The sequence below is a fragment of the Homo sapiens genome, chromosome 2 (assembly GCF_000001405.40).
Source record: "Homo sapiens chromosome 2, GRCh38.p14 Primary Assembly".
Taxonomy (NCBI): domain Eukaryota; kingdom Metazoa; phylum Chordata; class Mammalia; order Primates; family Hominidae; genus Homo; species Homo sapiens.
Window position 1 is genome coordinate 166,885,211 of NC_000002.12, and position 16,630 is coordinate 166,901,840.

The window sequence follows — 16,630 nt, forward strand, 5'->3', positions numbered from 1 at the left end:
TTTTATATGGCCTCAAGGCTTAGAACAGGCTCAAAGGGAAAATTACAGAGATATTTTGGGTTTAATGCAAGAAATATAATTTTTCAAATGAGAGCTTATTCAAAACCCTTGCTTTGGACTTCCACAACTCCTCTGCCAAGCCTTTCAACAATGAATTATAGTCAGAAATTAATTCACTGGAATGTCACACCAAAATATAAGGTCCTGGGGAATAAAAGACTGCATGGGATTTAATTCAATAACTAGTGACTTTTTTCCCAGTTGATTTTGGATCTCATGTGTGTCAAGTTGATGAATTAATAAATACAAGTGAGTCTCTTACAATAATGTGCCAACCCAGTCTGGAGGGCCCATCCACATGTGTATTGTAGGAGAAGTCTAAGCATCTAATAATTGTTGAGACTAGATGATTTAGCACAGCCCAACAGAAATAAGTGTTGTTAAGACGCAATTCCCTAAAAGGTCCTGGTTGACATTCAGTGCATTAGAATCTGAACTTCAGCAACCAGGTAGGTTTACCCAGATCAGATATGTATAACAACACCTGGAGAAAGTTTTTAATTTAAGTCCTAATAAAGATACCAAAGCCTAGCTGAGAATGAATAAACAAATATTCAAGAACAACTACTTGCTATGGATTTATTATGTAGTCAAATATAAATACTATAGTTAGGCTCCAGTATAAACTTGCTGTCTGTGTCTTCATGGGAATGGGCAAAATATCTCACCCCCATCAAATTGAATGGTTGGTGCACTTCTTTATTCTTTAGAGTGGGCCTAGTGCAACTTCTCAAGCCTACTCAGGTGGCAACTAAAAATTAGAGTTGGCACATGAGATGAAAATTATTTTCAAGCTCTTGTCTAAGGAAATACTTTATTGTTGATATAGTGTCTACTACCCTTTCTTTGAAATCTCACTATCTTCATCTGTCTCCCACTGTTACAAGCTTCTAGGATGGGATGATAATGTACTGAAATCAGGTTATTTATCATTATTTCCAAATACTTTGAATATCTGCTAAAGGGATTCCTCAAAATTCACTTTAAAATCAATTATTATTTTTACTAAGTGGTTTATTATTTTAATGCACACACAGATTTCTGGTTTTCTGCTTAGGAACTATACCAATGTTTCTTAAAAATGTCACTCTCTTATTTGTCCATGCTGTTTTCATTTTGTTAAACGAGTCATTTTGTTAAATGAGTCTTTGGAGATGAGAGGGATACATTAACCTTTTCTTGTGGGAAAAACATTTGGACTCAGAAGTAAAAATGGATCCCTCACTGGTCAGAAGCATTGACTCAAAGGCATGCCTCATTTCATGCCATTCATCTTCACTCTCCTGGGCCTCCAAACCCCAAATGTGCCAACAGTAGTCCCATCGCAACATTATGTGGGCATTACAGTTCTACACATCCTTTTCTGTTGGGGATCTTGCTTTTTTAAAAAAACAGAAGTAGCAAAATGATGCTGATTCTTACTTGGTTTCTCATAATTACCGATAATATTTTGTTTAAAATAGTGAGAATCAGCCCTGCCACAACTTGGTCTTGAATGCTCTCATCTTTATATCTAACCAGTCACCTTACATGTTCAATATTCCAGCTGAGTATCACTTCCAGATATGTTCAGCATAGTTATTCAATAGGAGTACTTAATAAAGACAAAATGTCACCCAAACTGTATTTTCTCTCTGTGTTATGTGGAATTTGCCTGACTTTGGTCAGGATATATTTTGTCTATCCAGTTCTCTGTGTCTACTGTTTTTGTCACTCTGTCGTGGAAGGAAATTAAGTTGATTTGACAGGATTTATTTTTCACAGTGCCAAGGAGATTTTACCCAGTAACTCATGATTTTCTAGGTGCTTGAAAATTGATTTTTTGATGATATGTTTCAGTAAGTTTTCAACTAAATACTGATGCTGACAGGTCTGTAATTTCTAAAGTTATCTGTTTTTTAATCTTCCCAGAGTAGAAACAAGAAACACACCAAGATAAGTACTGCATTTAGTCTTTTTAATATAGCAGAATGTCTAAGTCCTTTTTAAGTTCATAGATGTTGAGCTAATTGTTCTTTATTGACTTTGGCAAACTCTTGGAAAAATAATTAAGTCACCAGAATTTGCAGTTCAAAATGTGACCAGTTTATAACATTAGCCTTGTAGTCGAACCTTTATATCACACCCTGTATCGTCTCCAAATACCATATCATAACTGCCCTATATTTTAAGCTTTCAAACAAGATTTCTGAAACCTACAGTTTGAATACTGGCTAAGCACTGCAGTTATTTATATAATTTATGGTCATTTTTATATATGAAAATTCATTGATTAAAGTTGTAAGATTTAATTTATTATATTAAAATGCATTTCTGCTATTGAATTCCTTTATGCAAAAAAATCAACATTGTCTTTAGTAGTATATCACTGAACCCCTTATATATAAAAACCCCAGTTTGGAACAAAGAGCTATTAGATGACCAAATAAGAATCAAATTAGACTCTGCAATTAGAGTCTGCGAAGAGAAAGACTTTACTTATTTGAAATAGTATATAGCTTACTATATGTAAAATAAAATAAAATTATCTCAGAAGCTGTGGTCTCCTATAATTTGTAGAAGATGATAACTGATATCGCTAAGCACTTTTTGGTTGCAAATAACTATACTTAAATACTGCTAATAAAAGCTGACATCCGCTGATCACTTGCTTCATACCAAGCACTATCCTAAGTTCTTTATGAGCGTGATTTCATTTATTTTGTTCATCTCACAACAGTATAGTTAGAACATACTATTATCATCCCAATTTTCAAGTGAGGAAACTAATGTTTGGATATATTAAATAATGCATCTAATGTCATATACTAGTGTTTGAGTAGGAATTTGAAGCCATTTGGTTTGAATCTGGACTCTATGTTCATGATCATTATCCAAAATTCTCAGGTGTCCCAACCCCTCACAAATGACTTTGAATTAAATATTAGGTTTATTTTTATATGTATGGAACCTGACGCACAGTGATAATTAAAGTGTAGCTCAGCCATAGAGTGAGCCATTGGTCACTATGGGTCTTTGGGTTAAAACATACCTTTAAGAATATGTAGGAAAAAAATGATAATAGCTAACTCAGCAGCATTCATTAATTCATCTGCAGCAGATTAACTTGTTCCAAAATAATGAGATAATCTGATTCTGATGGAACATGGAGCAGACAAATTCTTCTAGAACCCGACCTGTTTCTATGTGGGTGTATCCAGGAAGTCAGGATTATTTGGAGAAATCTGGCAGGTCTCTAGGCAGACAAAAGGGAACATCTGGTAGGGACTGGGACATGTAGAAAAAAGGTAAGATTTTCCTAAGAAAAACCACTTCTTTCATAATTTTTTCTACACATACATGCTTCTCTTTGATAGTTTCTGACAGGACACTATTTTGCCTCTCTCTCCCTATTTCTTTTAAGTAATATACATTAAATTAGCATAGAATCACAGCATCATCAACAAATTCAGGCTAGCGCTTAGTGACAGACACTGCTGCTAGAATCTCTAGTTATTCATTTGTTTTTCTAACTAAGAAACAATTTAATCTGGGGCAGCAATGTGCCCAGAGAAAAAATAGTTAATCTCTCAGACTCAAAACACGTAAGTTTGGCTATATATTATATTTTTGGACACTGAAAGATAGTCAGGGACTTCTGGGGAAGAAATTTAACAAAAACAGCATCACCCAAAGAAAGCATCTGGGCAATTCTCCTTTCTTCCTTCGTTCCATTGAGTCAGGTCAGAGAGGACTCGCCAGGGACAAAGCCATGACCCTCAGGGACCCAAGGGCATGAGCCTGCAGCTGACAGCCCCATTCTGAATAAGCATTCAGGCACACAGACCAGGGTGGTTGTTGCAAACCCCTCAGCAGCTGCCTCCTGGCACAACCACCCACTAACATGTGATCTAGCAGACAAATGGAAGCTCTTCTTACCCCACTTCTTAGGCACTCCAACAAGGGTTCTGAATTCTAAAAACAGCAAAAAACATTCAAATTGTTACATATGAAATGCTTTCCTGCACCTTTCTATCTCAGAGATGACAGCTGTCCCTCCTCCACTCTCTCCCCACTCGCCCCCAGACACCTCCCTAAACAATTTCTGTGCCAAGATGAAGAGGATGTCCCAGGCCATGGGGCTTCTGGCCTTGAAGGGCTGCTGCAGTGGAGCCAGGGCACAGGGTAGGTGAGACACAGCAGAGGTTCTGGCCCAGGTCCCTGGCCTCTCCTCCTGCAGGTGGCGTTTATTTATTCAAGGGGAGCAACCATGTTCATTTTCCCAACAATGTGGCACCATATTTTGCTTTCCTCTCCACTTCCTTCTTCCTTGCAGCCTTCTCCCACTGTTTCCAGATGATCACCAGCCAGGCAAGGCCCACCTTGGCTTGCTCTGTCTCTCCTGCTAGTGCATTTTCTCCTTAAAAGCTCCTTTAGCCTGTCCAGATCCACTTGTTTGACCTTTCTGGTTGTCTATCCTACCTGCTTGGGGTTCTTGATGTTGATGAGTCCTTCCATGCCTTTGTGCTTTTGCTGGTAGTCATTTTCTTCATTTTCATTCTCTCATAAGTCTAGATTTCTTCCCCTTTTTGGGGTAAGCCCCATCTCCACCTTCTTCTCCTTGTTATTCTTCTCCATAGCAAGCAATCCTCAAGCAGGTATTGAATTAATGAATGGTGTTGTGTCTTCTCCAGTTCATTAATATTTCTGTTGATGTAGCTAAGTTTTATTTACTTTTTAGTTTTATTTTATTTTATTTTATTTGAGACAGAGTCTTGCTCTGTCACCCAGACTGGAGCATAGTGGTGTGATCTCGGCTCACTGCAACGTCCACCTCCCAGGTTCAAGCGATTCTCCTGCCTCAGCCTCCTGAGTAGCTGGTATTACAGGCACGTGCCACCATGCTGGCTATTTTTTTGTTTTTTAGTAGAGATGGGGTTTCACCGTGTTAGCCAGGATGGTCTCAATCTTCTGACCTCATGATCCTCCCACCTCAGCCTCCCAAACTGCTGGGATTACAGGCATGAGCCACCGTGCCTGGCCCCTAAGTTTTATTTTTTAACTGTGGGTTCATAGGCTTCGGGCATCAGAATCACCTCTTGGTGCTTTCTAAGAAGGCCAGTTCCCAGTTCAAATTCCAGACCTTGAAACTAGCTGAAACTCCCCGAGTGGGCCCTTAAGAATCTGCAGTGCTAAGGACATCTCAGATGATGTTGGTGCACAGAAAAGGTGAGAACCAGAGCATCTGAACAGACTGTAAATCCCTGAAGTCTGGATTTATGTTTTATAATTCTTTGACAGCTCTCAATAGTAAACTCTAAAAGTTTGTTTTTATTTTTATTATTCACACTGAGATTCATATTTGAAATTTCATGAGAGCAAATTTTGCATGCTTCTTTTATTACAGATGTATTCTGTATGTGGGTGTAGCAGAAGCTGATATGACAGATCATCAGCTTTGTCCTAAATAACAGGTATTGTCTGGTACGCAGCCTGCTTGGGATAATCCATGAAATATTTAACAAATTTCTTCTTTTGTTAAATACTAATTACCCATATCCTCCAGACAGTTTTCTGGGACTCTGAGATGGGTCCTTTTACTAAGGATGAGTTTATTTTTCTATAGAATTTGGAAACAAAAGCTGCTTCAATCAGCCTTTAACGAGTAAACTTGTAAGCTGAGTACCTAGCACAAACAGGGGTTATGGTTGAGGGTGCACTTCTCTCTTCCATGACTTACTAAATAATGCAGCTCCCAGAGCTGGCTATGAGAGATTTGGTGTCTTGTAGCTGCTATCTGGCGACGTATGTCCATCATGCTTGATGTTCATTAGTTAGATGAGATCAGTAAGTTAAAGAACTGTTAAATTTGTGTTTTCCTTTAATGGATACGTGACTGTGGTAGCTGAGTCACAGGACAGAAATTTGACAGAAAAAGACATGGCGGTAAGATAAGCTTATTGCAAATATACAACTTCATAAATTCTTCTAATAACTTGTCTTAGCAAGGTGCCTTAGCTGGTTCACTTAATAAATGTGAATGTGGAGATAAAAGAAAGAAAAATAAACAAATGCATTGTTCCTATCTCTTTTTTACATATATGAATTATGCATGCATCCTATTAGTGGGAAATTAAGTAATGTACTATGTTAGCTACATTTTTGGCAGAAAAATTAATTGTTCTGATAAACCTAGCATAGCTGGAGAAGTTAATGTAATTGACAATATATAATAATAAAGCTTTAGTTAAGTTTTTTCCTTAATATTGAAAATGCCATTTCTTTGAATCTCTTAACTAATTTCTTTCACATTCTTATCAGATAGATATTGAGCAACTATCTGCCAAAACTAATTAAAATTTCCCTCCCAGAAAAGATCAATTACTTGCTTTATTTGGAAAAACACTTTCAGTTGTTGTCTTTTGATTTTTTTTCTCTGAAAAAAAAATTGTTGTCTGATAATCTTTCTTAATCACAACAAAAATTCTGAAAGCTTGGTAACAGAAAATGTAACCAAAGCATGAAAATAAGTTAAATTACACTAATATTAGCATTATAAACATAATCCTTGGGATTCTTACCCTTGTCAGAAGGTGCTAGTTTGACATATTTACCTAACCTTAACTTGCTTTCTACAGTTGCAAGACTGAGGATTTCCTTGGCAGAGAATCTGGCTTAGTGACAACATAAATTTGGCAGGTTCTTGGAAACCTTTTGTTTTGTAGTTTGAACCTTCAGCTTGCCGATGCTGATATGCCTCACAATCTTCGTCTGTTCTGTCATCTTATTGGGATCATTAACTACTATTTTGAAGGATGCTAGAATTATATTGCAAAATATTTTCCCCCTTCAGACACATGTTGTAGTTTCCAAAGATGAGAAACCCACTAGAAAAATTTCTATCCAACAATACCTTTTTATTCCATTCTGATGTTTTTTATTCTCAAATTGGCACAGGCTTCATTCTGATTAACAAAAATATTTTAGAATTCTAGTTGGTATTGTACTTGTTGAATTATACCTGAAAAAAATATTTAAAGTCATGTTTAAAGGGCCTCAGAAAATGCTGTGATCTCCAAAGCACACTGGGCCGGAGTATGGTGGGTGTTGGGAAACAGAGCAGGTAGAAATCACAGAAACAATGGGAATGAAAAGAGACATGTGTTGATCTTTCATGAAAAAAGTCAATTGCTTTGTGACTGAAATTATTCTGTGAAACAGCTCTGGCATGCAATCCAGACCCTTTGCAGCCTGCTGTGTTTTCAGAATTTCAAAGCCAACTTTAAAAATTATTGCATAGAGTAAAACAAGGTTAAACACCCTCCTGCAGAGCTTCACCTGCCTGCATCTGAGGAGAGGCTTCCTGTGAATTTCAGTAAAAGGCCTTCCATCCAGGTCCCCACAGCAAATATGTTGAGGCTTCTCAGGTTCCCAGAGCTGAAGTTTGTGTTCTTTTCTGAAATAACCTTTGATGGGTTACTTGACATAGAATGCTACAATTTTGGAGCAATGAAAAATGACATCACTTGCAGTCAGCCTCAGAGATCATTTCATAGAAGATATATATATATATATATAACTTCTATGATATGTTATAATATATGTTTTATATATATATGTATGTGTGTATATATGTATATATGTGTATATATGTATATTTATGTGTATATATGTATATATGTGTATATGTGTATATTTATGTGTGTGTATATACATATATATATATGTATATACACACACACACACACACACACACACAACACCACCAGAGGGAAAAGAGAGGGATCGCATGCTGATTCTAGAGAGGGTTTGCGTGTGCTGTAATTTAAAACAGAGATGACTGCAGTAAACTGACTCTTGGGTTTAAATTACCTTCAGTGGTCATTCTCTGGTAGTGAAAAGTGAGAATATTGGAATTTGATGATATAAATATTAGAGTAACTGGTGGGAAATTTAAAAATATTCCAGAAAAATCCATAATTGTTTTAAAAGGCTTTTTCCTTCTGTGGAAGGAAGAAAACAGTTTAAACCAATGCTGATAAAGATGGCATTTATTTTCTCTTCAAAAATGTAGAAAAGCCAACTGCCTCAATCCCAATACACCAAAAAAATTATTTGCATTTTTAAAAAATACTTTCAGTTCTTGAACATATGCATATATTTTGAAGTCATGCAATACATTCCTTTCTGCGTATCTCTTTACCCAATTTTATATCATATACTGATTTCATTGGTTCTGCATTGTCTTTATATTTACCATTTCACATGGCTACATCATTTCATTGTGTGGCCAGACCATCATTTAGTAAAACATCCCCCTCACTTTGAAGCATTTCCTTTTTTACTATCTATAATGACTATTGAAACTTTGCAAGGCACATTTGCATATATTAAAGAATATTCTTCTATTAAATTATTATTTCTGGGCACATTTTCTTTTTTAGAAATAGAGATCAAAAGTGTCAGTGCCATTGCCAGTCTTGCCATGCTTAAAACTCTTCATTCACTATCATTCTGTAATAATCATAGATTTCTTAGATTTGAACATGTGTTTCAAATTGATACATAACTATGCTTTAAACTTGAAATGCTGTTAGTAGAGAAATGTACCAAAACATGTCCTCAAATACAAGAAACAAGAGTTATGACTTACAAGAAATCTTAGTAAATCAACCATATGAGACTATTTACAAAGCTTGTTTAAAATTAACTTTAGGGATTTTCAGTGGAACAGGGAAGCATTTGGTAGTTTTTCTTCTCCCCAAGACCTAGTCAAAGATAATTTTTCTCTGAGTGGATTGGTATGCTTGACAGGCAAAATTGTGGTCATTCTTTTTGTTTAATGCAATGGGCCACAAACCTAACATTATCATTATAATTAGACATAAACTCAAAGTTACAATAATAGAGGCCGGAGATAATTCTTACAATGACAGAGATCACAAAATATTAGAACACTTTTGTAAACACGCAGTCTTTAATACATGGACAACTTAGCTTTGACCAAGGGTTTCTTTCCTTCCCTTACTTACAAATCCTCTCTCTGAAGACCTCATACTCTTTTATACAAGATAGCAGATCACCTGGCAGGAACGTGAAATAAACTCTTTGGAATCCTAACGTGAATGTCAGCTCCATGTATTTACTAAATCTTGGCAGATTTCCTTTCTTGAGTCCATGTAAGCTATTATTCTCTTTATTAGTGTTTCTCAAAGTATAGATTTCAGGCCACCTTCCTTAAAATCACCTCAGGTACCTATTAAAAATGCACTAATTGAGTTGCTCTTAATATCTACTGAGTTGGAGTGAATCCCAGGGGAGCTATTGCTCCAAGTATTAATTCTAGTATGAGAAGAAAAAATATGTTTATACATATGATGGGTTATAGTGAAAACCTACTTTTTTCAGCATTGTGCCTTTCATTCTAATAATGTTAATTGAGCCCCAATTTTGTGCCAGGCAATGTGTTAGAAGCGAAGGATAAACTACTGAACAAAAACTGGGATGCACCTTGCCAACATAGAATTTTCAAGTTAGGGAACAGACATTAATAAAATAGCTACACAAACAAATGTGTAATTGTAGTTTTGACAATGTGAACAGAGAAGAACATATTTTGAGGGTGCTAAAATAGTGAGCTATATCATCTTTGGTAAGTCAGGAATGCTTCCCTGAGGCAGTCATGCCGTATGCTGAGAACAGAAGGATAAATAACGGATACCAGCAGAACAGGAGAGAGAAGAGTACTTACGCAGAGGGACAGCCTTTGCAAAGGTCCTGTGGCAGGAGAGAAAATAAGAAATGCAAGAGACTAAAAGGACACAGTGATTAAATCCTGGAGAGAGGATGAAGGAGGGGAATCATGGTTGAAAATCTCTGAACTGCCCAAGCCAACTCCTAACAAGGAAAAATGCAGAGTTTACTACTTTAATTAGAAGCAAAACATTTTACGTGCCATATGTGACACTGCAAAACATTTTTATTAAAATGTCCACATTGGTTGTATTATGCCCTGATGCTTCATTTCAGGTCATTGGTTAATCCTGTGGCTTCCATGGCAATTTGCAATTTTTTGTTTCATCCTACCTCAGTCTACCTTGCTACATCTCAGTCTCAATAACTCCACATACTGGTGCTTAACTTAGCAAAGACAACCACCTGATCTAAAGTTGTTTTTGAGGATTGCTCCCCCAGGTGGATAAATAAGGTGGTAGGTGGGTCCCACCATACCCAACAACAGGTCTCTGGATCCATGAACAGAAGTAAATTATATGTAAATCAAAGTTTGCTTTCCTCAATTAGAAAGAAGGGGATGCCATGTCCTGTTGGCAACGTTTGCAGCAGGGTCACTGCCTGCCACCTACGTAGTCCCTTTGGATATTCATTTCAGCTGAATCTTTTTAAAATTAAATGAGTTTTGGAATTGTATTTTAACATACACAGGCGTTACCCTCTGTTCATTCATACCCAGATTCTGACTTAGCATGCAATTCTCTGAATGCTGGGAAAGCCTTCTCATTTTATATACAAATGTTGCAGCTTGTTATGTGGTCTTTAAGAGATGCCAGCTAATTTTTAATAGAATACAAATACCAAAAAATTACTTGTTAAATGTAATAGTGATTAACAGATACTTTTTAAAAACTTGCCAAAGTCATGACTACTACATAGATATACTAAGAAGAAAACAGAGGCTTGCCTTTTACAATTAGTGGATTTTGCTTTATTTCTACATTTATCAAAATGTCTTTAATGGAAGACTGCATCTGTGGATGTTATGAGCAATTTATGCTAAAAGGTTCCCTGGACAAATAAGTTAAGGACAACTTTGAACTACAGTTATATGCCACATAACAACATTTCAGTTAATGGCAGACTGCATATACGGTGGTGGTCCCCTAAGAATATAACGGAGGAAAAACATCCCTATTGCCCAGTATTTACTATACCATGTTTTTATAATTGTTATTTTAGAGCATACTTTTTCTAAAAATATAAAAGATATATGTAAAAGATTGACTGCAAAACAGCCTCAGACAGGGTCTTCAGTGGGTGTTCCAGAAGAAGGCATTATTATCAGTGGAGATGACCGCTCCGTTTCATGTTCATGCCCCTGAAAACCTTCCAGTGGGACAAGATAGTGATATCGGAGGTGAAAGACAGTGATATTGATGATCCTGACCCTGTATAGGCCTAGGCCAATAATGTATATGTCTTAGTTTTTAATAAAAATTTTTAAAAAGTAAAAAAAAAAGAAAAAGTTTATAAAATAAAGATATAAAGAAAAAATTTTCTACAGTTGTACAATGTGTTTAGGATTTTAAGCTAAGTGTTATTAAGAAAGAGTCAAAAAGTTTTAAAAATTAAAAAGTTTATAAAGTAACAAAGCTATAGTAAGTTAAGGTTAATTTGTTATTGAAGAAAGAAAAATCTCTTTTATAAATTTAATGTCACCTATGTATATATAATGTTTATAAAGTCTACAGCAGGAGTGTACAGTAATTTCCTAGGCCTTCACATTTATTCACTGACTAACCCAGAGCAACTTCTAGTCCTGCAAGCTCCATTAATGATAAGTTCCCCATACAGGTATAATACATTTTATCTTTTATACTATATTTTTACTGTACCTTTTCTATGTTTAGATACACAAATACTTACTATTGTGTTATACTGCCTGCAGCATTCAGTACAATAACATGCTGTACAGCTGTTAGCCTAGGAGCAAAGGCTATACCATATTGGCTAGATGTGTAGTAAGCTATACCCTTAAGCTATACCCTCTAGGTTTGTGTAAGTACACTCTGTGATCTTCTCACAATGATGAAATTGACAAACAATACATTGCTCAGAACATTAAGCAACACACTACTGTCCTTGTACTTCTTTCTTTCTGAAAGACTTTTCAAAGCATTTAATAAGGGTGTGCATGTTGTAATTCTCCCAGAATGGGATATCTATTAGGCTTCTTAAACTTATTTTTCCATGTAATTCTTTCTGCACTGTTTCTGAAAAACATTCTGCAAGACTAGCACTCAGTGGCCCTACGGAAGTGTGCCTACTGCCCTGTTGCTGTCATTCCCTGATCAGGGAATATGGGAAGAAGGGTTTCTGTAATCTCATGTCCCATGGCAAAACTGTTGGTAATAGAGGGAATGGTGGCATGCGTCACCATCGACAATACTGAAAACATATCACCGTGACCTACTGTTGGAATTAGAGAGCAGACATCTCATTATGCAAAAGTATTGTAGCAGTCGGGGTCCAATCAGGAAAAAGAAGCCACACGTAAGTTAAACAAAATAAGTTAATATAAAGAATTAACAACTATGATAGAAGAATAGGTATTAGCTACAAAGAAAGTCAATTCACTAGCCTCAGGCTGAGGGAGAGCCACCAAGGAATGACAAACTGGCAAAGGATCCAGACTTTCATGGAGAAGGTGTGGTTCAGCCCATGGGAGAGCAGGAAGCTTTTTGGTTTAGCCAGGCTAGAGCTGACCCAGAGTTTCCAGACTAGCAATAGACCACCTTTCAGAGGCAGGCCAAGCAGATAATCAGCAGCTGGTGGCAAGGCCATGCAGTGGGGGTTGGAACACCTCTCTAGGCAATAGACTTTCAAAGCACATGGGCTATGCAGGGGCTTGCAGAGAGAGAAGCAGATCTGAGTTTATCTCTTAGGACACATGCAGGTGGCATGCAGGATACTCAGGGGCTTATAGAATCAACAACTGCTCCCTATGTGACCCTCCAGACCACAGGCAGCTGTATGGTTTGTTTCCATGAGAAGAGAGCTGTAGAGAAGTTATTTCCTGGCCCAGGCTATAAGATCATTCTATGGCTATAGTTGAACAGGCTCCACAGTGTTCTCATGCTCATGACTGCTGATACCCAGCCCAGGTAGGAAATTTCAGGAAGACTCTTCCTCTTGCAATGTCCCTCCAGTGTTTGCTGAGAAAGCTAAACATTGTGCTCACATTAAATTAGAAGTGCTTAAAGGGATTCAGCTATTTATCAAGGAACATATGTTGAAGGGTGCATTGGAACTGAGAGGTCGTAGATTAAAAACTCACACAGGTATGTTGCTGATTCATAATAGTGGATCTTGCAACAGAATGCATTGCCATCCTATGCCACTGCACAGTGTGAATGCTGGTACTGCTGTCTGTTTCCCACCTTCTCCTACAATTGGAGTAAAACTTGGAGTAGTGACTACCTAATCACTTTTTTATCCATTTAGTTTTTAACATTTTATTTTGAAATAATTATAGATTCATTGGACATAGCAAAGATAGTACAGAGAGATCTTTTGTATGATTTATCTAGTTTCCTTCAGTAATTCCATCTTACATAACTATAGTACATTATAAAAATCAGGAAATTGAAATCGACGCCATATACACTAATAGTACTGTGCCACTTATCACCTATGCAGATTCCTGTAACCACCACAGCAATCAAGACACAGAAGTTTCCTACTACCACACAGATCTCCCTGTGTTACCCCTTTATAGTGAAGCCCACCCCAACACGTCCCATCCATTCACAATCCCTGAGAACCACTAATCTGTTCTGCACATTTGTAATTTTGTCATTTCAAGAATGTTATTGAAACGGTACTTTTATCGTATGTGACCTTTTGAGATTGGCTTTTTTCACTTAGAATAGCACCCTTACATGGATAGCTGAATAATGTTTTTAATCCACCCCACAATCTCTGTCTTTTCATTTTTATGCCTTGGGCATTTACATTTTATGTAATATTTGAAATTATGGGGCTCAAGTCTGAAATTTAAGTTTGTCTTCTCCGTTCCCTCTGTTGTGTGTTTCTCTCTTTCATTTTTCATGTCTTTCTATGAGTTACTTAAATATTTCTTAGAACACATTTTGATTTAGCTATAGTGTTTTGTAACACATCTCAAGTATGATGGATTTTTATTAGTTCCCCTAAATACATGTTATACACATAAAGCTTATCACAGTCTATTGGTATTAGCATTTTACAGTTTGAATGAAGTATAGAAACTTTACCTCCTTTATCCCTTTTCCCTACCTAGTTTATAATATAATTGTGTTGGTTAACTTCTCCACACATATTGAGAATATCAGACATTATACCCCTAGCTTCAACCTTCAATCATAATTTAGAAAATACAAAAGGAGAAAAATAGAATGTATACTATTATTTCTTCATGATTTTCCTCTTTCTATTCTTTCTTCCTTCCTGATATTTCAAGATTCCTTCTTTCATCATTTCCTTTGTCATTCAAGAATACCCCCTAGCCAATTTTTTAGTATAGGTTTACCAGCAACAAATTATTCTTAGTTTTCCTTTGTCTGAGAATGTGTTTATTTTTTCTTCGTTATTGAAAGATCATTTTGTTAGACAAAGAATTTGGAGTTGGCAGTTAGTTTCTTTTAACACTTGAAACATATTGTGCTCTTGCCTTCTGGTCTTCATGGTTTCTGATGAGAAATTTGCTGTCATTCACATTGTTCTTTCTGTATAAGCAAGGTGTCACTTCTTTCTTACTGCTTTTTGGAACTGAGAGGCAATAGATTGAAAACTGACACAGGTATGTTGCTTATTGGTAATGGTGAATTTTGCAGCACAGTGCATTACCGTCCTATGCCACCGCGCAACGTGAATGCTGGTACTATTGTCTTTGTTTCCCACCTTCTACAATTGGAATAAAACTGGGAGTAGCGACTACCAGGATTTTTTTTTTAATTTTGTTTCCTGAAATTAGATTATGATGTGTGTTGGTGGTTATCTTTTGCCAAATTTGGAAAAAATTTATCCATGAATTTTTTGGACTATTTTTTAAGCCCCACTGTCTTTCTCTTTTTCTGGAAATCCAATGGCATGAATTTTAGATCTTTTTTATAGTCCAACTTGTCTCTTAGTTTCTATTCTTTTTTCACTTTATATTCTATGTTTTGTTCAGATTTGATACTTTCTATCATCGTATCTTCAAATTCACTGATCCTTTCCTTTTGCCCTTTTCATTTTGCTAAGTCCATTCAATGAGTTTTTAAATGTTCGTTATTTCTACCTCAATTCTAGAATTTTAATTCGTTTCTTCTTTGCGTCTTCTATTTGTTTGCTAAGGCTTTCCACTTTTTCACTTTTTTTTAAGCATGTTTGTGATTCTTCACTAATGCAATTCTGTAATGGCTACTTAAAAATTCTTGTGAGATAATTGCAACACCTGTATCATGTCAGTGTTGGTGTCTGTTGATTGTTTTCTGCTTTGGTTTAGGTCTTTGGTGGCTCTTAATATGAATGATTTTCAAGTGTATCTTGGACATTTTGTCATTTATGTTGTAAAACTCTGCATATTACTTATGTATTTCTGACCTTTGACTCCCTGAAGAAGGGTGTTCAATGACTGTTTTGTGAAGGTGGGATACTGGGCTCCCCATTATTCCTCCAATGCCATCACCCCTGCTGGCTGGAAAGTTGGGAGGCCCCTCTTTATTGCTCTCCTTGTAGCCTTCACTGACATCATTGCCAGAAGGAAGCCCTCAATACCAGTGGATGATGAAGAAAGTTCTAGTTACCAGCTCTGTCCTCTGACACACAAAGGGAAGAGGAGAAGATCTTGATACCGCTAGGTGGGGTAGAAGTACAGGATCTTCACATGGCTTCCACTGACATCTAGAGGAGCCCCGTCACCATCAAGTGGGAACAAAAATCCTGGCCCCACACTTGGTCTTCTCTAATATGAAAGTAGTTGGAGAGAGAGACAGCAAAGGGCAAAAAGCCAGAAACTTACACTCACCACTCAGCCTTTGCTGATGGGAGTAAGGGTTTAGTTGTGGTTTTTCATGTTGTTTGCCTGGAGTATGGTACTTATGGCCTAGAAGTGTCCTGTCTTTCTAGGCTGACACTTTTCAGCTTATTTGGCTAGAGAAAGCAGGTTTTCCTGGGGAAATTTCATTTTCTTCCCCTCTAGGACTTTCTGAGTTACTGCTTCTTCCCACCACCAGTTCTTTATATATGAAGCAAAAAGAAATCCTGGGAATTCACCGCCTTATTGTTCCTCAGGTCCCAAGGTTCCTAGGCAGTTCGCCTTCTCTCTGCTTTTCAAAGTCCTCATGTTTATTTCATGTGTCCAATTTCTAGGGGTTTTAGCTGTATTTAGTAGGAGAAATTGAGAGAAAGAAGTATGTCTATTCCAACTTGATCCAGAAACAGATGTTCCAAATCAGTTTCAATTATTAGGATTTCCTTTTCTACAGGAGAAAATGGCTTTCCTCCTCAACTTGCCAGTTTTTCTGCCTCTCAGCTTTCCCTTTCCAACTATGTGTGGTTGGCTCCAAAACAATTCTTTCATTAAATAACCTCATGAGGTCACTCCTACCAGCTGTGACAGCGTCTCAACCATTCCCATGTTAATGTGGTCTTTTCTGTCGTCCACATATGAGACACAGACATTAACAGCATATGTTGTTTAAATTCTCAACATATGCTGATCAGTTTTCCAAACAGGTATTCAGATCTTCTTTGATCTACTGTTTTATTGAGATTTTTTATAATAAGTGACTAATTCAAACTTACCAATTGGCAATATTATTAAGGCCAAATT

The 16,630-nt window shown here is 36.8% G+C and overlaps 1 protein-coding gene across 3 annotated transcripts in view; it reads left to right on the plus strand.

The window, feature by feature from the left end:
• The first annotated feature begins 3,269 nt into the window (after positions 1-3,269).
• Positions 3,270-16,630, plus strand: part of XIRP2 (xin actin binding repeat containing 2) — a 371,274-nt gene continuing 357,913 nt past the window's right edge. For all 3 annotated transcript variants that reach the window (NM_001199143.2, NM_152381.6, NM_001079810.4), the window contains exon 1: positions 3,270-3,347. The gene's annotated coding sequence lies outside the window, so the exon portion shown is untranslated. The remainder of the gene's footprint in view (positions 3,348-16,630) is intronic.